Raw genomic sequence first — 22,640 nt, 5'->3', positions numbered from 1 at the left:
GAACGAGAGGCACAAGCAGAAACAGATGTGCAAAACCAGGGACTGCAGGCTGGGTGGGGCTTGCAGGCAGATACCTCTCTTTCAGACAAGGAAACACTTTTTTTTTTTTTTTTGAGACGCAGTTTTGCTCTTTCGCCTAGGCTGGAGTGCAGTGGTGCGATCTTGGCTCACTGCAACCTCTGCCCCCGGGGTTCCAGCGATTCTCCTGCCTCAGCCTCCCGAGTAGCTGGGATTACAGGTGTGCACCTCCATGCCCAGCTAATTTTTGTATTTTTAGTAGAGACAGGGTTTCACCATGTTGGCCAGGCTGGTCTTGAACCCCTGACCTCAGGTGATCCACCCACCTCAGCCTCCCAAAGCGCTGGGATTACAGGTGTGAACTGCCGCCAGGCCTAGCCAGCATTCTTGAGTTGAACTCATGATACTTAATTCCTAAGAGTCTTGCCTCCAAAATCAAATGTGCTCCTTGCTAGCTGCATAACTTTCCCCTGGACCTCAATTTACTCACCTATAAATGAAGGATTTCTAAAGCCCTTTTCATGATTTTCAGTGAGGCTAATAGCACCATTCCCAGGATGCTTTCAGTTCATTAAACCACTGCTGATTTGTCGGTTGTTCCCCTGTGGAGACTGCACACTGGATGGACAAAATGCTCATCTCAGGAAAGCCCTAGCGTTTCAGTCTCAGCCTTCTGATCACCCAGTTACTGAGTGCGAATTCTGTGAAGGTCGGTACCATATGGCATGGAGGAGGGGAACAGGCAGGTAGATGGGCAGATCAGGTTGCTTCTGCTTACAAACAAGGGAGTTTTCAAACAATGTTCTCTCAAGTTCAAAGAGTTCTAGCAGCTGACGTGATAAGAGAAAAATGTCACCAAGATGTTGGGACAAGAACAGAGTCTGGAAGGATTGAGAGGACTTAAGCAAAATTAGAGGTAGATGGGGTTTCAGGTAAAGGTGTTGGCTAGAGCCAAAGAATAGAGGTGGGACTGTGCACTGGCAGTCTTTTGATTACAAGTAACAGGGGTGCCAGGTAACCTCAGGAAGGACTGGAACCAAGAATTGCAGAGCCATCAGAATCCAGGTAATCACTCTTTCTGGTTTCAATTAACTTGTCTTCTCTCATGCTCGGTGGCTTTGGTTCTCTCAATTTCTAATTCAATCTTGGGTTACATGCTCTGTTTTTCTTTTTCTTTTCTTTTCTTTTTTCTTTTTTTTTTTTTGAGACAGAGTCTCGCTTTGTTGTCCAGGCTGGAATGCAGTGGCGCCATCTCGGCTCACTGCAAGCTCCGCCTCCCGGGTCCACGCCATTCTCCTGCCTCAACCTCCCGAGTAGCTGGGACTACAGGCGCCCGCCACCACGCCCGGCTAACTTTTTTTGTGTGTATTTTTAGTAGAGGCAGAGTTTCACCGTGTTAGCCAGGATGGTCTCGATGTCCTGACCTCGTGATCCACCCGCCGCGGCCTCCCAAAGTGCTGGGATTACAGGCGTAAGCCACCGCGTCTGGCCTACAATGCTCTGTTTTTCAGACTGTCTCTCTGACTTTATTTCTATTTTTTTTTGTTTGTTTGTTTTTGTTTTTTGAGACGGAGCTGTGCTCTTGTTGCCCAGACTGGAGTGCAATGGCGCGATCTCGGCTCACTGCAACCTCCGCCCCCCGGGTTCAAGCAATTCTCCTGCCTCAGCCTCCTGAGTAGCCGAGATTAAAGGCGCCCGCCACCATGCCAGGCTATTTTTGTTTTGTTTTGTTTTGTTTTTTGTTTTTTGATACGGAGTCTCTCTCTGTTGCCCAGGCTGGAGTGCAGTCGTGCGATCTCGGCTCACTGCATCCTCCACCTCCCACGTTCAACCGATTCTCCTGCCTCACCCTCCCGAGTAGCTGGGATTACAGGCGGGTGCCACCACGCCTGGCTAATTTTTTGTATTTTTAGTAGAGACAGGGTTTCACCGTGTTAGCCAGAATGGTCTCTATCTCCTGACCTCGTGATCCGTCCGCCTCGGCCTCCCAAAGTGCTGGGATTACAGGCGTGAGCCACCGCACCCGGCCAATTTCTCTCTCTTCTTAGCCCCTGTCTCTGTTGCAGTCTCTCCCTCTCACTGTGTGGTCTTTCCTCTCTGCAGGAACCCTTGGTTCTGCTTGCAGATATGCTTTCTCTGTTCCTCTGGGCTCACAGAAGAAGGTGGCCACCCTATTTATATCTCAAGTCAATGAATAGCCCTGTCTTGAAGACCGAATTTGATTGGCCCAGTTTGAATTGGGGCTCCACCTCTAGTCCAATCAACCGTGGCCATGGCAGGGGTGGGAAATACAGGGCAATCCTGCTATCCAATCAAATTCCCTGGAGAGACAATCTGGTTGGCCCAGCTGCAGTTTGCCTCTAGTCCAGTCAACTGTGTCCATGGTGGGGGTGTGGCATATAAAGGGCAGTCCTAAGGCCTTGGGCGGTCGCTCTCACCTACAATTCCAGCACTTTGGGAGGCGGAGGCTAGCAGATCACCTGAGGTCAGGAGTTCAAGACCAGCCTGGCCAACATGGCTAAAAATACAAAAATTGGCCAGGCGCCTGTGGCTCACGCCTGTAATCCCAGCACTTTGGGGGGCCGAGGAGGGTGGATCACCAGGTCAGGAGATCGAGACCATCCTGGCTAACATGGTGAAACCCCGTCTCTATTAAAAATACAAAAAATTAGCCAGGCGTGGTGGCGGACGCCTGTAGTCCCAGCTACTCAGGAGGCTGAGACAGGAGAATGGCGTGAACCCAGGAGGCGGAGGTTGCAGTGAGGCAAGATTGTGCCACTGCACTCCAGCCTGGGCGACAGAGCAAGACTCCGTCTCAAAAAAAAAAAAAAAAAAAAGGCTTTGCTGGCTGGGTGTGGCGGTTCATGCCTGTAATCCTAGCACTTTAGGAGGCTGAGGCAGGTAGATCACTTGAGCCCAGGAGTTCCAGACCATCCTGGGCAACATGGTGAAACCCTATCTCTTAAAAAATACAAAAATTAGCCAGGCATGGTGGCACACACCTGTAGTCCCAGCTACTCGGGAGGCTGAGATGGGAGGAGCGCTTGAGCCTGGGAGGTAGAGGCTGCAGTGAGCTGTGATTATGCTACTGTATTCCAGTCTGGGCAACAGAGTGAGACCCTGTCCCCTCATCAAAAAAAAAGAATTTGCTGTATCCCACACTGCTAGAAATGGAAGAGATTGAAAATTTTGTAGATTTAACAAGGTGATGTTTCATTTCTGTAGCACAATAGGAAATTGAGTTGTTTTACAGAAGCAGTTTTCCAGAAAATTCAAACTTTTCCTCTTTATTTAAGACTTTTTTTTTTTTTTGAGACAGCGTTTTTGTTCCCCAGGCTGGAGTGCAATAGCACTATCACAGCTCACTGCAGCCTTGATCTCCCAGGTTCAAGCAATCCTCCCACCTTGGCCTCCCAAGGAGCTAGGACTACAGGCATGAGCCACCACACCAGGCTAAATTTTATTTTTTGTAGAGACTGAGTCTCACTGTTTTGCCCAGGCTGTTTTCAAACTCCTGGATTCAAGCGATCCTTCTGCCCTGGCCTCTCAAAGTGCTGGGATTACAAAAATGAGCTACTGCACCAGGCCTCCAAAACTTTTAAACTTTTGATTGTTTTGGGGTAGAAATATAAAAGTATTTAGTCTACTTTTATAAAAACAGAAATAACATAATTCAATCTTTTCTTGATGTATTATGAATACCATTATTGTGGAAGTATAATACTAATAAAATAGCAACCAGGGCTGATATGATATATAAAAAATTTTATCTAATCCCAAATGATGCCAGACTATATACCCTTCTTGTTGAGTTCACACATCTGTTTTTGTGTTTCCTTTTTTGTCAGGCTATTAGACAACACTTTGGCTGTGGTTCTAGCACCTATTCCCCCTTTCTAATTTACTGACTCATGCAATGGGGATCCATATGACCAAATTAGTATTTAAAATGAGCAAAGAGACTTACAGAATGAAATTCTGAAAGCCTAGGTATGAGTAAAGTACATGAACTTTGATATGCCAACTTTGTAATATCTACTTTGATGGCTCAGAAGCCTTTTCTCTTCATAACCTTGTTATTGATTAATTTACCCATGAGTACTACTTTACATACATAGCCAGTGGATGCTTCTGTATATTTAACAATTGCTTACAGGTAATACATGATTATAATTGGTTGTTTTTTTTTTTTGTTTGGTTGTTTGTTTTTGAGACGGAGTCTTGCTCTGTCACCCAGGCTGGAGTGCAGTGGTACAATCTCGGCTCACTGCAAGCTCCGCCTCCCAGGTTCATGCCATTCTCCTGCCTCAGCCTCCAGAGTGGCTGGGACTACAGGCGCCCGACACCATGACTGGCTAATTTTTTGTATTTTTAGTAGAGACGGGTTTCACCGTGTTAGCCAGGATGGTCTCGATCTCCTGACCTTGTGATCCACCCGCCTCGGCCTCCCAAAATGCTGGGATTACAGGCATGAGCCACTGTGCCCGGCCCTAGCCAGTGGGTGATTATAATTGTTAATCACTTTTATTATCTAATATTATGGTTAATGCACATGAATTGGAAATTGGAAATTGGAAAGGACTTATAAGCCAAGAGTTCATATTCTCTCTTTCATCTCTTTTTAAGTGTTTCATTTGAAATCAAGCAAGTTCCTCACAATGCTAAAGTACTGTGAATAGGGTAAGATCCTCAACTAGCTGGCTAAGAAGCATGACCGAAAAAGTAATTTTTTATTTTTATTTTTTTATTTATTTTGTATGCAACTCATTGTTTATATTTTTTGATTTTTTTATTTAAAGGAATTTTTAAAGGCATAAAGGGAAATCCATAATTCACAACATTGCACAGGAAAATATCTTTATTACTTAGTAAGCACCTACTCACTATAGCAAGTGCCAAGGGATCATTTATTCCTCACATTAATTCTAGGAGGTCAAGAGCACCCCAATTTATAGTGGAAAACAGGCTTATGGAATTAACTTACTTACCAGAGGTCACATGGCTGTTAAGGAACTCAGCTGGGATTCACACACCAGTCCTTCTACTCCTGACGTCTGTGCCCTTTAGTAAATACAAACAAGAATTCCCTAGCACTGTCTTCAAGATTTGATACACTGAAAGTTCCACTGGATTAATTTTAAGAATGCCCCCAAAGGATTCAGAGGGAAGGGTGGTAAGTTAGCACCATCTGCTGACCATCTCCCTGAACATCAGGATGAGGAACAAGAGGCAGTCTAATTGAGGACAAGGGGGATCTCATGCTATCTAAGGTTACCTCCAGCCCCCAAGGGCAGGCCCAGGAAAATGATGAGCGCCTCGCTGTAGTCCTCTTGGTCACCCTACAATACCAAGGTTGGGCAGTGACTCCCTGAGGAAGAAAGTAGTAGCAGTTGGAAGGAGCCTAAAAGAGACCTTGAGAAAAAAAGGTCCAGACTTCTATCAGCACAGTGGAAACATATCATTTCTGCAAATAAATCTTAGCATCTCCTGATTCTAGCATCCAGCAATAAAAACAGATTCCTGAGCCCTCCTCCAGACTATTTTGTCAAAATCTTTAGGAGAGGGGCCTAATGTATTTTAACAAACAACCAAAGTAATTCTTTTTTTTTTTTTTTTTTTGAGCCAGAGTCTCACTTTGCTGCCCAGGCTGGAGTGCAGTGGCATGATCTCGGCTCACTGCAACCTCCGCTTCCCAGGTTCAAGCGATTTTCCTGCCTCAGCTTCCTGAGTAGCTGGGACTACAGGCACACATCACTGTGCCCAGCTAATTTTTGTATTTTTAGAGACGGGGTTCACCAGGTTGGCCAGGCTGGTCTTGAACTCCTGACCTCGTGATCCGCCAGCCTCAGCCTCCAAAGTGCTGGGACTACAGGCCTGAGCCACCGCGCCCGGCTACAACCAAAGTAATTCTTAAGTAAAGGAAAGATGGTGGGTCACTTCCTTAATAGGAGGGCAGATTTTTATTCCTTGATGTGAGATGTTCCTGGGTAGGGGGTAGAGATTCTGCAGACCCCTAAAATCTCATCAGCTTTTGGAATAAGATATAGAGAAGTAATGGAAACCCATATGGTGATTTGGATTTAAGTCTGGGTTCTGCTGTGACCTTGGGCAAGTCACTTAAACTCTCTGTGTCTTGATTTTCTCAGCTTCAAAACTGGAATGCTGATAATAACAATATATCATTTGGTTGTTGTAATAATCAAATGAGAAAGTGGATGTGAAAACCCTTTGTAAGTTATAAAGTTCAATACGATGTGTTAATATTATCTTGAGTTCGCACCACCTACAGATGCAGGTCCTTATCTTTTAAAATACTGAGTTCCTCAATATTTATATTTATATCCTTCCAGGGATAATCAATGTCTGCTGATATGAAGGAGCAGGGTTTGGCCATGAAAAAAAAAGTCTTTATTCAGAGGATACAAAGATTCCCAAAAGAATGATGACTCTCTGAGAAGATGTGCCAGAATTTCTGGTGGAGGAGAGGAGAAGCGAGATTTTTTGTTGTTGTTGTTGAGATGGAGACTTGCTTTGTCACCCAGGCTGGAGTGCATTGTCACGATCTCAGCTCACTGCAACCTCTGCCTCCCAGGTTCAAGCGATTCTCCTGCCTTAGCCTCCCGAGTAGCTGGGATCACAGGCGTGCGCCACCACACCCGGCTAATTTTTGTATTTTTAGTAGAGACGGGGTTTCACCATGTTGGCCAGGCCAGTCTGGAACTCCTGACCTCAGGTGATCCACCTGCCTTGGCCTCCCAAAGTGCTGGGATTACAGGCGTGAGAAACTGCGCCTGGCCGAGAAGTGAGATTTTTATGTTTATCGAAAAGAGTCTTGGGTTAAAAAAGAAAAGCTTGAGAAATACAGTTTTAAAGCCAGAAGACTCCAGCTCTATTCTCTGTTTTTCACTTGTTATGTGACCCTGGTCAAGTATCTGCCTTTTCAATAGGCCTGTTTCCTCATCTAAAAAAATCAGGGTTAATATTGAGTGAGTTAAGACTCATGGACTCTAATTTATTAAAATATTTCTTATAGCAACTCATAATGCTGGGAGGTAAAATCAAGTATAAAAGAAAAAGAGGGCCTGCATGGTGGCTCACACCTGTAATCCCAACACTTTGGGAGGCCAAGGCAGGCGGATCATGAGGTCAATAGATCAAAACCATCCTGGCCAACATGGTGAAACCCCGTCTCTACTAAAAATACAAAAACTAGCTGGGCGTGGTGGTGTGCGCCTGTAGTCCCAGCTACTCAGGAGGCTGAGGTAGGAGAATCGCTTGAACCGAGGAGCCAGAGGTTACAGTGAGCCAGGATCGCACCACTGCGCTCCAGCCTGGCCACAGAGTGAGACTCCATCTCAAAAAAAAAAAAAAAAAAAAGACAAAAGAAAAAGTTTTACATAAAATGAAGACATAAAAAGTTATGTGCCTGACTGGGTGCAATGGCTCATGCCTGTAATCCCAGCACTTTGGGAGGCTGAGGCAGGCGGATCACTTGAGGTCAGGGGTTTGAAACTAACACGGCCAACATAGTGAAACTCTGCCTCTACTAAAAATACAAAAATTAACCGGGCATGGTGACGCATGCCTGTAATCCCAGCTACTCAGGAGGCTGAGGCAGGAGAATCACTTGAACCCAGGAGGCAGAGGTTGCAGTGAGCTGAGATGGTGCCACTGCACTTCAGCCTGGGTGACAGATGGAGACTCTGTCTCAAAAAAAAAGTTATGTGCCTTCAGCTATGTAGTTCGCAAAAAGTAAATAACTCAAGGAGTTAACTCCTCCAGTGTAAACTATTTGAGCTGGAAAACTGCACTTGACTTTCTTTTTAAAGCGTCATTAATCTGTCAGAAAACAGCTGAAAGTAGGTGTGATGTGGAAGGGCTGATGTGACCACAAGTATTTGCCATCACTTTCCTGGTGAAGGATCCATTTTCTCACAGGGATAATCTCAGATGGCTCTGGGTTTTTTTTTTTTTTTTTTGAGACGGAGTCTCGCTCTGTCGCCCAGGCTGGAGTGCAATGGCACGATATCGGCTCACTGCAACCTTCGCCTCCTGGGTTCAAGCAATTCTCCCACCTCAGCCTCCTGAGTAGCTGGGATTACAGGAGTACGCCACCACACCTACCTAATTTTTGTATTTTTAGTAGAGATGGGGTTTCACCATGTGGGTCAGGCTGGTCGCAAACTCCTGACCTCGTGATCCACCTGCCTCGGCCTCCCAAAGTGCTGGGATTACAGGTGTGAGCCACCACGCCCAGCCGGCTCTGTGCTTTTGAATTCATAACTTGAGAGGATGGCCTGATAGGAACCTGACCAGAGGTTATCTATGCAGTGCCATCCTTAATCACGGCCGGGTGCGGTGGCTCACGCCTGTAATCCCAGCACTTTGGGAGGGCGAGGCGAGAGGATCACTTGAGCCCAGGAGTTTGAGACCAGCCTGGGCAACATAGGGAGACCTCATCTTTACTAAATTAAAAAAAAGAAAGAAAGAAAAGAAAACCCTCAAGACTTTAAAGCACCCACGGACTAGCAACAGCTAGAAGCTTTATCACCACGAGGCCTGAAAGAACAAGGAGACGGAGCTGTTACCAACTAACAATTGCTGCTCAGGGAACTAACTGACAATACCAACTCCATGTTACAAGTGATGAAACTAAGGAGAATGAGAAGATAAGGAACACAGGATGTGGAATTCCGGGGGAAGAAATTTAGTGAATCTGAAGCATCCAGCGCCTACCAAGGCACTTTAGAGACTTCCCCCTGGAGGGTTAAGCCACCAGCCTCACCTTGACCTTCCCTGCCGCCCACTAAAAGTGACCGGAAGAGCTCGACTATGACGACTCGGGACTACAAGTCCCGGCATGCATCTCTCCGCGTCTATCGCAAAACCTTTCAACTTTAGGATAAAAGGGCTTTTGGCAACCTTGAGCGTCGGGACCTGTAGTCGCCCCAGTTGGGGCTAGACGCTTGCCGTAGGGAACTCATTGGCGCCCAGGGCACCACCCCCTCGCCTTCGCCTCACGTAGCTTCACCAGCTCGCAAACACGGCGCGTGCCCACGCCCTCCGCCCCCTCCCCGGGCCTAGGGCGCAGGCGCGCGCAAGCTCCCCGGGCCCAGTAGGCTGGGGGTGGGGGTAGAAGGAGAAGGAGGGGAAGGGAGGGGGGGGTTGGGTGTCTACTCTGGTGAATAGACGGCTGTGGGGCAGAGAAGCGTGAAGGCCTGGCTGCCGGGCAGGTGAACTCTCCACGGGGTCTAGGGCCCGCGAAAGGGTTCGGAACCGAGTCAGCGCGCCTTGCGGGCAGGATTCACGCCGCTGTGACCCGGAGGTCCTCAGGGGGCGAAGCCCCGGCCTAGGCCTCGCGGAGATGCCCAGCTGCGGTGCTTGTACTTGCGGCGCGGCGGCCGTCCGGCTCATCACCTCCTCACTCGCCTCCGCGCAGAGAGGTAACGAAATAGTGCCACTCCTGAGCCCTCAGCCTGTCGGGGGGGGGGTGGACTGGCCAATGGTTGGGGGCCCCGGGGAGGGCACGAGGCCTGCTGCACCCGGGGAGTGTGAGGGAATGCGCGGCGCTTCGCCCGGCACCCACCACTTTCCCCGTGGAATGGGGCTCTGCCAACCTCTGGAGCAGCCGTTGCTCAAATTGGAAGTAAACTCCTTCCCACGCGCCTGCCTGCACGCTTTCAGGCCTGCTGACTTTGGGGCCGGAATGCGGCCACTTTGTAGAAACCCTGAAAGGCACAAAATGCTCCTGTTATTAAAAAATGTCTCCAGATCCCACTCAGCCCTGCCGGGGACCGCCGCCTGCCATGGCTGCGGCTCTTCTTCCGCAGCCTGGCCGGGATCCCCCTCGGGCCCGTTGGGGGCTCCAGGAGGGGCTCGGCTGAGGATCTGTCCCTACTAGGGTCCCCCAGGACTCGGGGCACCCAGCTGGCCGTCCCGGACGCAAGCCGCGCGATACCCGAGATGTTACTATCACTGTGCGGCCCTGACACTGGGACATAAACAAGGTTCACAATACTTCCCGGCGTCAGGCAAGCCCCGGGGCCCGCAGGACAGCGGCGGGAGAGATGGGGAGAAGTCCCGCAGGAGTTGGTTCGGAAGTACTTGGGTGTTTCAGCAGTCCTTTGCTGGCTTTCCCAACTTGACCGGGAGGTAGTTTCCTAAGAGTGGCGCATGTTGTTTACCTTTTCTTTCTGTTTATCTGAAGCTGTGAAAGAATGGCGCCCCAGCCAAGAGAGTCTGGAAAATAAACTTTTTTTCTCTTCCTCAAATCTGTGGAAGTCAGACCACGAGGCTAGATCCTGTTATAATGACTGACTTCTAGACAAATTCGTTTTATTTTGGCTTATCGGTTTATGACCCTTGGATGGATTTTTAAAAAGGCCCCTTTTATCTAACTTCTAAGCCAATTATAAAATCCTTATTGTTTACTAAATATATCTTCCAGTTTCTTTACTACAGAAGGAAGGATTGAATGAGGTAACGTGGGCAGAAGCATTTTGTAAAATGATATATAAATGTAAGGGAGTAAATTTAATCCTAAATCGATGTTAAGCCTCAACCAGTAGATGTCCCGATTCCAGGAATTCGATTTGCAAACACTTTAAAGTGACATATTTTAATCCATTTATCTGATATATATTAATATTTGTCAAGGGTCCACTGTGTGTCAGGCCTTCTTTTAGTGCTGGAGGTAGAGTGGTGAATAAGTCCTCACCCTCATGTTTAAATCTAGTGGAGTAGACAAAGAATAATACAGTTTCCAGTGGGTGGATGAAGTATGTGTGTGTTCCCTTTGGTCAGGGACGGCTTCTTTGAAAGTGTTACTGATCTCTTGTAGCCAAGAGTCCGTGAACATTTTTGAATCATAGGAGATAGGCAGTTATTTTTTTTTCTTTTCAAAACGACTGTTTTCTTTCTTTTTCTTTTCTTTTCTCCTTCCTTCCTTCCTTCCTTTCCTTCCTTCCTGTCTTTCTTTCCTTTCTGTCTTTCTTTCCATCTACTATCTGTCTTTCTGTCTGTCTTATTTTCTTTCTTTTTTTTTTTTTTTTTTTTTTGAGACAGAGTCTCGCTCTGTCGCTCAGGCTGGAGTGCAGTGGCCAGATCTCAGTTTACTGCAAACTCCGCCTCCTGGGTTCACGCCATTCTCCTGCCTCAGCCTCCCGAGTAGCTGGGACTGCAGGCGCCCGCCACCACGCCTGGCTAATTTTTGTATTTTTAGTAGAGACGGGGTTTCACCGTGTTAGCCAGGATGGTCTCGATCTCCTGATCTTGTGATCCGTCCGCCTCGGCCTCCCAAAGTGCTGGGATTACAGGCGTGAGCCACCGCGCCTGGCCTCTTTTTGTGTGTCTGTCTTGATGGAATCTGCTAAGTTGCCCGGGCTGGAGTGCAGTAGCGCGATCTCGGCTCACTGCAACCTCCGTCTCCTGGGTTCAAGCAATTCTTCTGCCTCAGCCTCCTGAGTAAGCTGGGGTTACAGGCGCGCGCCACCACGCCCCACTAATTTTTATATTTTTAGTAGAGACGGGATTTTGCCATGTTCGTCAGGCTGGACTCCAACTCCTGGACCCCAGGAGATCACCCGCCTTGGCCTCCCAAAGTGCTAGGATTACAGGCTTGAGCCACCGCACCCGGACTAGTATTTCTTTTTAAAAACAGTTGTTCTGAAATTTAGAAAGCTTTGTCTGTATGATAAAGTTCTGTAAATAGTGAAACTTAAATTGTCTTTTCTGGTTGCTGCCAGGTAATCTGGTGAAATATACTTTACAGAAACACTTCTCTTTTTTGGCTTTCAGAGCTTCACCTGGGGTTTACAGGCCTCCAAAGGGTCCTTGAATAGAATTCAGAGATTCTGTGAACTTTATTTTCACTAAGCTCTAACTGAAACACAACGTTTCCTTGGCCTATGAATGTGGGCAACACATCCACAGTAGTCTTAGAAGTGTCTGTGGATTTGTCATCAATCAAAATCAGAAATATTTTCATATCACATTATAGTTGCTGATATTTCAGAATATTGTCCATACTTTTTGCTACTTTGAAATCATAGTAATTATTTAAAAAGCTGTTAGATCTTATTTAATTTTGCTTGTTAATAAAGAGGCATATTTTAAAAATTTTTTGATAACTACTTCATTATAATTTGTTTCCTTTGTTATGTATTTTATTTTATACATTTAAAAATATTATTCTGAGAAGATCTATTCAGAGGCTTCACCAGACTGCTTAAGGGGTTCATGGCACAAAAAGTGTTAGAAATCCCAATTACTTTGCTACAGAGCTTTATCATTTTTATGAGGATTTTATGATTGGTGAATGGTCATTTTGATTGATTGCATCTGTCACTCTCCCTCAATTACTTTTTCTTTTTCTTTCTTTCTTTCTTTTTTTTTTTTTTTGAGACGGAGACTCTGTTGCTTAAGCTGGAGTGCAGTGGTGCCATCTCGGTTCACTGCAACCTCTGCTTCCTGGGTTCAAGCGATTCTTCTGCCTCAGCATCCCGGGTAGCTGAGACTACAGGCGCGTGTCACCATGCCCAGCTAATTTTTTGTATTTTTAGTAGAGATGGGGTTGCACCGTATTAGCCAGGATGGTCTCGATCTCCTGACCTTATGATCTGCCCCCCTGGGCCTCCCAAAGTGCTGGGATTACTGGCATGAGTCACTGCACCTGGCCCCCTCAATTACTTTTTCTAAGCCTACTTTTGGGATTGATACTATCTTTATTTATTTATTTATTTATTTATTTATTTATTTATTTATTTATTTTGCGACAGAGCCTCGCTCCGTTGCACAGGCTGGAGTACAGTGGCGCAATCTCGGCTCACTGCAACCTCTGCCTCGTTCAAGTGATTCCCCTGCCTCAGCTTCCCAAGTAGCTGGGATTACAGGCACCTGTCACCACGCCTGGCTACTTTTTGTATCTTTAGTAGAGACAGGGTTTCACCATGTTGGCCAGGCTGGTCTTAAACTCCTAACCTCAAGTGATCCACCCACCTCAACCTCCCAAAGTGCTGGGATTACAGGCGTGAGCCATCACACCTGGCTCCTTCAATTTTTTTATTGTGGTAAGATACATATAAAATTTACAAGACTTAACTATTTTTAGTGTATAGTTCGGTAGTATTAAGTACATTGATACTGTGCAACCATTGCCATCATCTTGTGAAACTGAAGCTCTGTACCCATTACAACAATAACTCTCCATTTTCCCCAACCCCCAGGAACCGCCATTCTACTCACTGACTCTATGATTTTGCCTTCTAAGTACCACGTGTAAGTGGAATAACACAATTTTTTAAAGAACTTTTTTTTTTTTTGAGACAGAGTCTCCCTCTGTTGCCCAGGCTGGAGTGCAGTGGCATGATCTTGGCTCACTGCAACCTCTGCCTCCTGGGTTCAAGCAATTCGCCTGCCTCAGCCTCCTGAGTAGCTGGGATTACAGACGCCTGCTAGCACACCCAGCTAATTTTTGTATTTTTAGTAGAGACAGGGTTTCACCACGTTGGCCAGGCTGGTCTCGAACCCTGGGATTACAGGCATGAGCCACCGCGCCTGACCTTAAAGAACATTTGAAGTTTGTTTCCATTGTTACAGATTTTTTTTTTTTTTTTTGAGATGGAGTCTCGCTATGTCACCCAGGCTGGAGTGCGGTGGCACGACTTCAGTTCGCTGCAAACTTCGCCTCCCGGGTTCAAGCGATTTTCCTGCCTCAGCCTCCCGAGTAGCTGGGATTAAAGGCGCCCACCACCATGCGTGGCCAATTTTTTTTTATTTTTAGTAGAGACGGGGTTTCACCATGTTGGCCAGGCTGGTTTTGAACTCCTGACCTCTAGTGATCCACCCGCCTAGGCCTCCCAAAATGCTAGGATTACAGGGGTGAGCCACCACACCCGGCCCAGATAGTATTCTTATATAATAACAGATGAGTTGCTGTCAGATGTTTATTCTCATTGGTAGAAATAATAAGAATATAGGGCATAAATGGCCTTTTTCAAAATCTTACAGGTGAGGCAGATGTTGAAGTCCATTCAAACTTTGAAAAAGTTATGACGTGGGTGATCTTGCCTTATTTCCAAAGGACACATACAGAAAGAAACACCTTTATTTATTTAGAATCTTTCAGAGGCCCAGACCTGCTGGCCTGTTTTTGAAAGGACTTTGCCTCCGTTGGTGTCATTTTTTTTCTCTCAGTTTATACTACTGTGAAAATGATAGCTTTTTTTCAACCTCCTTTATGCTCAAGGAATTTTTGTTTCCAGGGGATTTATTGAGGCATGTCTATATTTGATGTAGATTTCCTTTTATTTTCAGGTATTTCTGGTGGTCGCATTCATATGTCAGTTTTAGGAAGGCTTGGGACATTTGAAACTCAGATTCTGCAAAGAGCTCCTCTTAGATCCTTTACAGAAACACCAGCATACTTTGCCTCAAAAGATGGGATAAGTAAAGATGGTTCTGGAGATGGAAATAAGGTAATTATTTTATCTTATTGGCATCTGTACACATTGTGAGTTCCCTCCTTTAAAAAAATATAACAGTACTGTCTCTTACTGGCTTATATGTTTTCTGTAGGAAATATGAGATAGCTAAAATGATCTGAATAATTTTATGTAATTAGATGTTTCATTTTGAACCTTAAAATACTTTTATAAGCATTGCACATAGTAAGCAGTAATTAAAATTTCTTACACCCCAAAGTAGTAAAGAAGTGTCATTAAATGACAGTCAGTAGGATTGAATTAGGAATAGCCATCATTTCCTGCTTTCATATAACTCTTATAACCCATGGCAGTATAAACCTCACTTTATCCTCTACCTAAAAATTTCAGATTTGTGGTATAACTTAATGTTGGGCTACTCTGGTAGCCTAAAAATTTCATATTTCTGGTATAACTTTATGTTGTAGCTAGTATAACTTATGTTGGTAGTTGTATTGAGTCAGTGACTTAACAGTTTTTTTCATTACGTGAATTTGACTAACACTTGAGTTAATTTTATATGTTAGACAAAATGTGAGACACTTACATATCCATACTTAACAGTGACTCTGATGTGAGTAAAATTATTCCCATTTTAGAGATGAGAAAAGTTAGATCTAAGAATAGTCAGAGTCACTACCTACCATGATAATAACTCCTGATTCAATTTCATTGAAATGTAGTTTTTTACCCTTAGTAAATTTTCTAGTGCCTGAGTCATTGAATGAAAGCTGTTTATTATATATGTTGGCACATGTTATACAAAGGAGGACTGCAGATATATATGTATTTACTAGAACTGATTTGATTTTTGAAGTAAATAGATCTTCTGACACCAGTAATAGAATTATAAAATATACTAATAATTTCATCCTAGAAATATAGAAGATTATAAAATTAATTACAAACAGTATTGTTTACATTTAAGTTGGTTGCCTGAAACTAATAATTGACACTCTTCCTTTTTTCTCCTTCATAAACGTTAGAAATCAGCAAGTGAGGGAAGTAGTAAGAAATCAGGCTCTGGGAATTCTGGGAAAGGTGGAAACCAGCTGCGCTGTCCTAAATGTGGCGACTTGTGCACACATGTAGAGACCTTTGTATGTAAGTATTACATCTTCTACTGTTCTTTTTTCCCTACATTTTCTGTAAATTACTAAGTGTATAAAAATATGTAAATTATGTAAAATGTATAAATATAGGCCAGGTGCAAACGGCTTATGCCTATAATCCTAGCACTTTGGAAGGAGGAGATGGGAGAATCCCTTGAGCCTAGGAGTTCAAGACCTGCCTGGGCAACATGTTGAGACACCTGTCTTTCCAAAAAAAAAAAAAAAGCCAGGTATGGTGGTGCATACCTGTGGTCTTAGCTACTTCTTTTAAGAAGGTTGAGGCTGCAGTGAGCCATGGTCATGCCACTGTACCCCATCCTGGGTGACAGAGACCCTGTCTCAAAAAAAAGAAATATATATATATAAATTGTATTAAATGTGTAGAAATATGGATTATATGAAATAGATAAATGTATGTGACTTTGTATGTTATATAAATTATATGTAAATTGTATGAGCTTACCTGATTCTCTCTTATGTTCACTATATACTAGAAAATCTTCAGGACTGGTAATACTTTGCACTGTTGTGTAAGAGATAATTTAAGAAAAACATTTGCTTCTTTATTTTGCTTACTTGTGTTTATTTCAAATTAGATTTTGTGAATTTCTGGATGTGATCATTAGGCTATAGGAGAACCAAGACTTATTTATTCTGTATTTATTACTACTTTCTTCAAATACATATTGAATATCTCACATGGCTGGGAAGGCCAGTCATTCATATATTAAGGTAATTTCCCTTAGTACTTACCAAAGGAGGTAAGCCCTCAATTCCGGGAAGCATCTGATAATTATTAATGATTCAGACACTCAGAGAAGGAAGAAATCAGGGCTGGGCACAGTGACTCACACCTGTAATCCCAGCACTTTCAGAGGCTGAGGTAGGCAGAGTGCTTGAGCCCAGAAGTTCAAAACCAGCCTGAGCAACATGGCAAAACCCCATATGTATAAAAAAATAAAATTAGCTAGGCATGGTGGTGCATGGCTATAGTTCCAGCTACTTAGGGGCTGAGGTAGGAGGATCGCTTGAGCCTGGGAGGTGAGGCAGCAGCGAGCCAGCCATTGAATTCCAGCCTCGGCGACAAAGCAAGAACCTGTCTCAAAAAAAGAAAAAAAGAAGGAAAAAAATCATGTATCCTACTTTTGCTGTTAGTGTCAGTAACTCTCTGAAATGCAAAGATTCTACTACAGATATTTTCATTAATGAATCAAATAATCAAAAAACTCATTACTTAACATAATTTAGAGTTAATGGTAATGAATTGTACCACCATGTCAGCCTTCCTATACAATCCAATTGAAGAAAGCTTCAAGATTGTAAGACTTCAGTGTCTGATGGTTGGCTAGAGAGTATTCTCTATCTCCTAACCCTAATATTGAGACTTTGGTTACAATTTCACACTTACCATTAACCATAATTGGCCACCATATGAAAAGGTACTAGATGTAGTGTGTTTTTATGTACTGGAAAGACTTAAAGTAGCTCCATCCCATAGCTGGAATATTAGGGGTTCTGAACAAAATTTAATTTGGATCACAACATAAAATGAAAGTGGGCCAGGCGCTGTGGCTCACACCAGTAATCACAGGACTTTGGGAGGCCGAGGCGGGCTGATCACTTGAGGTCAGGAGCTTGAGACCAGCCTGCTCAATATGGTGAAACCCCATCTCTACTAAAAATACAAAAATTAGCCGGGCGTGGTGGCGTGCATCTGAAGTCCCAGCTGTTCGGGAGGCTGAGACAGGAGAATCTCTTGAACCTGGGAGGTGGAGGTCATGGTGAGCCAAAATCACACCACTGCACTTCTCCAGCCTGGGCGACAGAGTGAAACTCCATCTCAAAAAAAAAAGGTAGAACTGGATGATAAAACCTTCTAAACAAATTTGATGTGATATAATAAAATTATACAGAGGCTGAAAATTGTTCAATTTATAAGGTCAGTGTCTTATATTTTAATCAAGAAATTTTCCTCCTTTTTTTTTCTTCAAAGAAACATTTCAACCTTTATAGACCTAAAGAATAATTTGTTGCCAGGCGCGGTGGCTTACACCTGTAATCCCAGCACTATGGGAGGCTGAGGTAGGCAGATCACCAGAGGTGAGGCGTTCAAGACCAGCCTGGCCAACGTGGTGAAACCCCGTCTCTACTAAAAATACAAAATTAGCTGGGCGTGGTGGCGGGCACCTGTAATCCCAACTACTCAGGAAGCCGAGGCAGGAGAATTGCTTGAACCTAGGAAGCGGAGGCTGCAGTGAGCCGAGATCACACCACTGCACTCTAGCCTGGGAAACAAGAGTGAAACTCCGTCTCCAAAAAAAAAAAAAGAAAGAAAAAAAAGAAAAAAGAATAATTTCTTAGAGTAGAAAAGGAAAGAAACTAATATTTAATAAATGCCAACATATATAGTTTTATTCTTGCACCCTTAATTTTGCCAGAACAAAGAGTATTCTCCTTTTTATAAATAAACTGAGATTTAGCAAGTTTAAGTAACTCATTCAAGGTCACATAGCAGTGAAGATTTGCTATTCAGAAATTCCTATATCATACATTTCTACCATCTGGAGATACTTTAGGAGTAAACTAGCTCCTCTTGGGATTAAATTTATTTTCCTTCTATGCATTCTTTCCAAAACTTGCCAGGTTGTATTAGTCACTGAAGGTGACTGTTAAACTTAGAGATTCCCAAACTCCTTCCCTAGAGATTAAGATTCTGTAGATGTGGGATGGAGTCCTAGAATTTGTATGTTAGTAGTATATGTATATTATTAGTTAGACCAAGTGTGGAAACACTACTTTAGTGTAATCAATTCAAGGCTGAGGCCTGTTTGCTTTGAGAATTCTAATTGTGGGTGGTGATATGGGAGTAGAAAATGTAGAAGGAAAGAATGAAAAAAAGAGCACACACTTATGTGCAAAATTAATAGCAAATGTGTTGATTCAGACATCACTAGGCTCAGAAAATATGCAGATGATCATGACACTGTCCCTGTCCTCTAACTATTTGTAGGCCCTAGCAGTGCAGTGAGCCCCTCCTCCCTTAGTTTTGTGTACCCATAATAAAAGTCTTTTCAGAATGCATCCTTTTGAATCCTTCTGTGTCTGATCATTAAAAGTTGGGTCTTCATAGTCCTAAAGAGAGTTTTATTTGATCTCAGGTTACTAACAGGTTGAGCATCCGTAGTCTGAAAATCTGGAATTCAAAATGCTCTGAAATCCTTTTGAGTGCGTCATGACGCTTAAAGGAAATGCTCCATTGGAGCATTTCAGATTTCAGATTTCATGTAGGGGTGCTTAACCAGTGTATTTCTGTGAATATTCCAAAACGTGAAAACATTTGAACTCTGAAACACTTCTGGTCCCGTGCATTTTGGTTAAGGGATAACTCAGCCTGTTTTTTTGTTTGTTTTTTGTTTCTATTGTTTTTCTGAGGCAGAGTTTCACTGTTCTCACCCAGGCTGGAGTGCAGTGGCGCGATCTTGGCTCACTGCAACTTCTGCCACCTGGATTCAAGTGCCAGCCTCAGGTGCCTCAGCCGCAGCCTCCCAAGTAGCTGGGATTACAGGTGCCCACCACCATGCCAGGCTAATTTTTGTATTTTTAGTAGAGACGGGGTTTCACCTTGTTGGCCAGGCTGGTCTCGAATTCCTGACCTCAGGTGATTCACCTGCCTTGGCCTCCCAAAGTGCTGGCATTACAGGTGTGAGCCACCATGCCTGGCCTGCATTTTAAGTCTGCATTTATTTGGATACTAGTTTGTAAACATCTTTTTATATGCTTTTTGGTCAGTTGTAATTCTTTTGTGAATGGCCTGTTTAAGTAATTGTCTACTTTTTTGTAATTTTAATTATTTTTAATTACTTGAAGAATGCATATGTAGATCCTCCTTTATGAGAAAAGAATAGACCCTGATAGATGAAGCTATAAAGTTCTATAACATATCTTCATTGAACGTGTGATTTTTTTTAAAGTATAAATAGCATATTCATATTTTTGCAAATTGCTTGTTTTCAGTACGCAGCGTTTTGAGAGCTGTGTATGTTAATGCAGTTGACTCCCGAACAGTGGGTTTGAATTGCTCAGGCCTACTTATACCTAGCTTTTATTCAACCAAACACATAATGGCCAGCATATATGAGGAGCTAACTTTTCATATGTGTGGTCTCCACAGGGCCGACTGCAGGACTTGAGTATGCATGGATTTGGTTATATGTGGGTGGTCCTAGAACTAGTCTCCTATGTGTGCCAAGGGACAGCTGTACATGTGGGCCTAATCCTTTCCTTTTAAAAATTTATTTGAGATATCATCATTCATATACCATGCAATTCATCTTCAGTGGTTTTAAAATATTTACCAAGTTGTGGCCCGGCATGGTGGCTTATGCCTGTAATCCCAGCACTTTGGGAGGCCGAGGTGGGCAGATCATGAGGTCAGGAGTTTGAGACCAGCCTGACCAACATGGTGAAACCCCATCTCTACTAAAAACACAAAAATTAGCCAGGCTTGGTGGCACGTACCTGTAATCCCAGCTACTTGGGAGGCTGAGACAGGAGAATTGCTTGAACCCGGGAGGCGGAGGTTGCAGTGAGCCGAGATCACACCACTGCACTCCAGCCTGGGTGACAGAGCGAGACTCCATCTCAAAAAAAAGAGGCCAGGCATGGTGGCTCACGCCTGTAATCCCAGCACTTTGGGAGGCCAAGGTGGGTGGATCACGAGGTCAGGAGATCGAGACCATCCTGGCTAACACGGTGAAACCCCGTCTCTAATAAAAATACAAAAAATTCGCCTGTGTGGTGGGGCACGCCTGTAGTCCCAACTACTCAGGAGGCTGAAGCAGGAGAATCTCTTGAACCCAGGAGGCAGAGGCTACAGTGAGCCAGATCGCACCACTGCACTCCAGCCTGGGCGACAGAGCGAGACTTTGTCTCATCTCAAAAGAAAAAAAAGATATTTACCAAGTTGAATGATCATCTCCACTATCTAATTCCAGAACATTTTTCATCACCCCAGAAAGAAACTCCATAGCCCTTAGTCACTCTCCACCCTCCTCCCCTCCTAGCCCTGTTAACTATTAACTACTTTCTCTATCAATGGGTTTGTCTATTCTGGGTATCTCATACAATGGAATTATACGATATGTGGCATTTCATACCAGCCTTATTTTCTTTAGCATGTTTTTAAAGTTTATCCAGTTTGCAGCATATATCAGTATTTCATTGCTTTTTATGGCTGAATAATATTTCATTGTTTAGACATTCATCAGGTGGTGGACATTTACATTGTTTCTACTTGTTGGCTGTTCTGAATAATGCTCCCGTGAACATCTGTGTACAAGTTTTTGTGTGGACATATGTTTCTAACTCTCTTGGGTATATGTTTAGGAGTGGAATTGCTGGGTCATGTGGTAACTCTGTTTAGTTTCTACAGAATTGCTAAACTGTTTTCCATAGCAGCTGTACCATTTTACAATCTGACCAGCAATATGAGGGTTCCAGTTTCTCCACATCCTTTTTACCACTTGTCTGTCTGTCTTCTTTTTTTTTTTTTTTTTTTTTTGAGACAGAGTCTCACTCTGTCACCAGGTTGGAGTGCGGTGGCACTATCTCGGCTCACTGCAACCTCCACCTCCCAGATTCAAGCAATTCTGTCTCAGCCTCCCAAGTAGCTGGGATTATAGGTGCCCACCACCACACCCAGCTGATTTTTGTATTTTTAGTAGAGACAAGATTTCACTATGTTGGTCAGGCTGATCTCGAACTCCTGACCTCAGGTGATCCTCCTGCCTCGGGCTCCCAGAATGCTGGGATTACAGGCATGAGCCACTGCGCCCAGCCTGTCTTTCTTTATTCATAGTGGATATGAAGTGGTATCTCATCATGGGCTTCTTTTGGTTTTATTTTGTTTTTAGAAACAGGGTCTTGCTCTGTCGCCCAGGCTACGATGCAGTGGCGCAATCATAGCTGACAGTAGCCTCACCTTCCTGGGTTCAAGTTGTCCTCCCACCTCAGCATCCTGAATAGCTGAGACTACAGGCAAATGCCACCCTAGAGACAGGGTCTCATTTATGTTGCCCAGGCTGGTCCCGAACTCTTGGGCTCAAGTGATCCTCCTGCCTTGGCTTCCCAAAGTGCTGGGATTTTTGTGCTACCTCCTGGGACTCACTGTGGTTTTGATTTGCATTTCCCTAATGACTAATGATGTTAATCTTTTCTTAGGTTTATTGGCCATTTGTCTGTCTTCTTTGGAGAAGTGTCAATTTAAATCCTTTGTCTTTCTTTTTCTTTCCCCCCAGACGGAGTTTCGCTCTTATTGCCCAGACTGGAGTGCAGTGGTGTGATCGAGGCTCACTGCAACCTCCACCTCTCGGATTCAAGCAGTTCTCAGCCTCAGGCTCCTGAGTAGCTGGGATTACAGGCGCCTGCCAACATGCCCGGCTAATTTTTTTGTATTTTTAGTAGAGATGGGGGTTTCACCATCTTGGCCAAGCTGGTCTTGAACTCCTGACCTTGTGATCCGCCCACCTCAGCCTCCCAAACCAACAACATTTTATGTAAAGAAATATAGGATACTTGTAGTAGCTGTTTAAAGGAAAGAATTTATCTCCTGGTAACTTAACAAAATTAGATTTTTGCCCCTTGTTTTTGGAGTAAAAATGCATTGGCCAGGCATGGTGGTTCATGCCTGTAATGCCAGCCGTTTGGAAGGCCAAGGCGGGTGGATCACCTGAGGTTGGGAGTTTGAGACCAGCCTGACCAACATGGAGAAACCCCATCTCTACTAAAAATACAAAATTAGCTGGGTGTGGTGGCGCATGCTTGTAATCCCAGCTACTCGGGAGGCGGAGGTTGCGGTGAGCTGAGATCGCGCCATTGCACTCCAGCCTGGGCAACAAGAGTGAAACTCTGTCTCAAAAAACAAAACAAAACAAAAAAGTGCATTGCAATGCTTGTATTTTTTTTTCCCAAAATAGCATTTTGATAAATAACATTGAATCCTTGAATTTAGGGATATGTTGAAAATATGTCA

General features: G+C 44.2%; 1 protein-coding gene and 1 long non-coding RNA gene across 5 annotated transcripts in view, besides 3 other annotated features; one reads left to right on the top strand and one right to left on the bottom strand.

Annotated features, from left to right (window-relative positions):
- Positions 2,171 to 2,465: an enhancer, noted in NCBI's record as "tiled region #15221; K562 Activating non-DNase unmatched - State 10:DNaseD". NCBI's record gives its function as "activates a minimal TATA promoter and a strong SV40 promoter by Sharpr-MPRA in K562 cells {active_cell/tissue: K562}" and the evidence as "EXISTENCE:reporter gene assay evidence [ECO:0000049][PMID:27701403]".
- On the bottom strand, positions 4,789 to 5,541 carry LOC124903509 (uncharacterized). The gene is made up of 2 exons (XR_007064683.1): positions 5,294 to 5,541; positions 4,789 to 5,079 (listed from the first exon to the last, which is right to left on the bottom strand). It is a non-coding gene; the product is annotated as an uncharacterized LOC124903509 (long non-coding RNA).
- Positions 8,677 to 9,561: an enhancer, noted in NCBI's record as "NANOG-H3K27ac hESC enhancer chr15:65477313-65478197 (GRCh37/hg19 assembly coordinates)". NCBI's record gives its function as "activates a minimal SCP1, AML or CMV promoter by ChIP-STARR-seq in primed H9 embryonic stem cells {active_cell/tissue: H9 hESC(primed)}" and the evidence as "EXISTENCE:reporter gene assay evidence [ECO:0000049][PMID:30033119]".
- Positions 8,946 to 9,255: a silencer, noted in NCBI's record as "silent region_6553". NCBI's record gives its function as "represses an Ori minimal core promoter by ATAC-STARR-seq in GM12878 lymphoblastoid cells {active_cell/tissue: GM12878}" and the evidence as "EXISTENCE:reporter gene assay evidence [ECO:0000049][PMID:35858748]".
- CLPX (caseinolytic mitochondrial matrix peptidase chaperone subunit X) overlaps positions 9,194 to 22,640 on the top strand; it is a 37,124-nt gene continuing 23,677 nt past the window's right edge. For all 4 annotated transcript variants that reach the window (NR_133680.2, XR_931743.4, XM_011521164.4 and 1 more), the window contains exons 1-3: positions 9,194 to 9,461; positions 14,332 to 14,492; positions 15,485 to 15,602. Coding sequence is in view for 2 of the 4 variants with exons in the window: in XM_011521164.4 (XP_011519466.1) it covers positions 9,383 to 9,461; positions 14,332 to 14,492; positions 15,485 to 15,602 (358 nt within the window). In the remaining 2 variants the exon portion in view is untranslated. The remainder of the gene's footprint in view (positions 9,462 to 14,331; positions 14,493 to 15,484; positions 15,603 to 22,640) is intronic.

The sequence above is a fragment of the Homo sapiens genome, chromosome 15 (assembly GCF_000001405.40).
Source record: "Homo sapiens chromosome 15, GRCh38.p14 Primary Assembly".
Lineage (NCBI taxonomy): Eukaryota > Metazoa > Chordata > Mammalia > Primates > Hominidae > Homo > Homo sapiens.
This window is presented reverse-complemented; position numbering and strand designations above follow the sequence as displayed.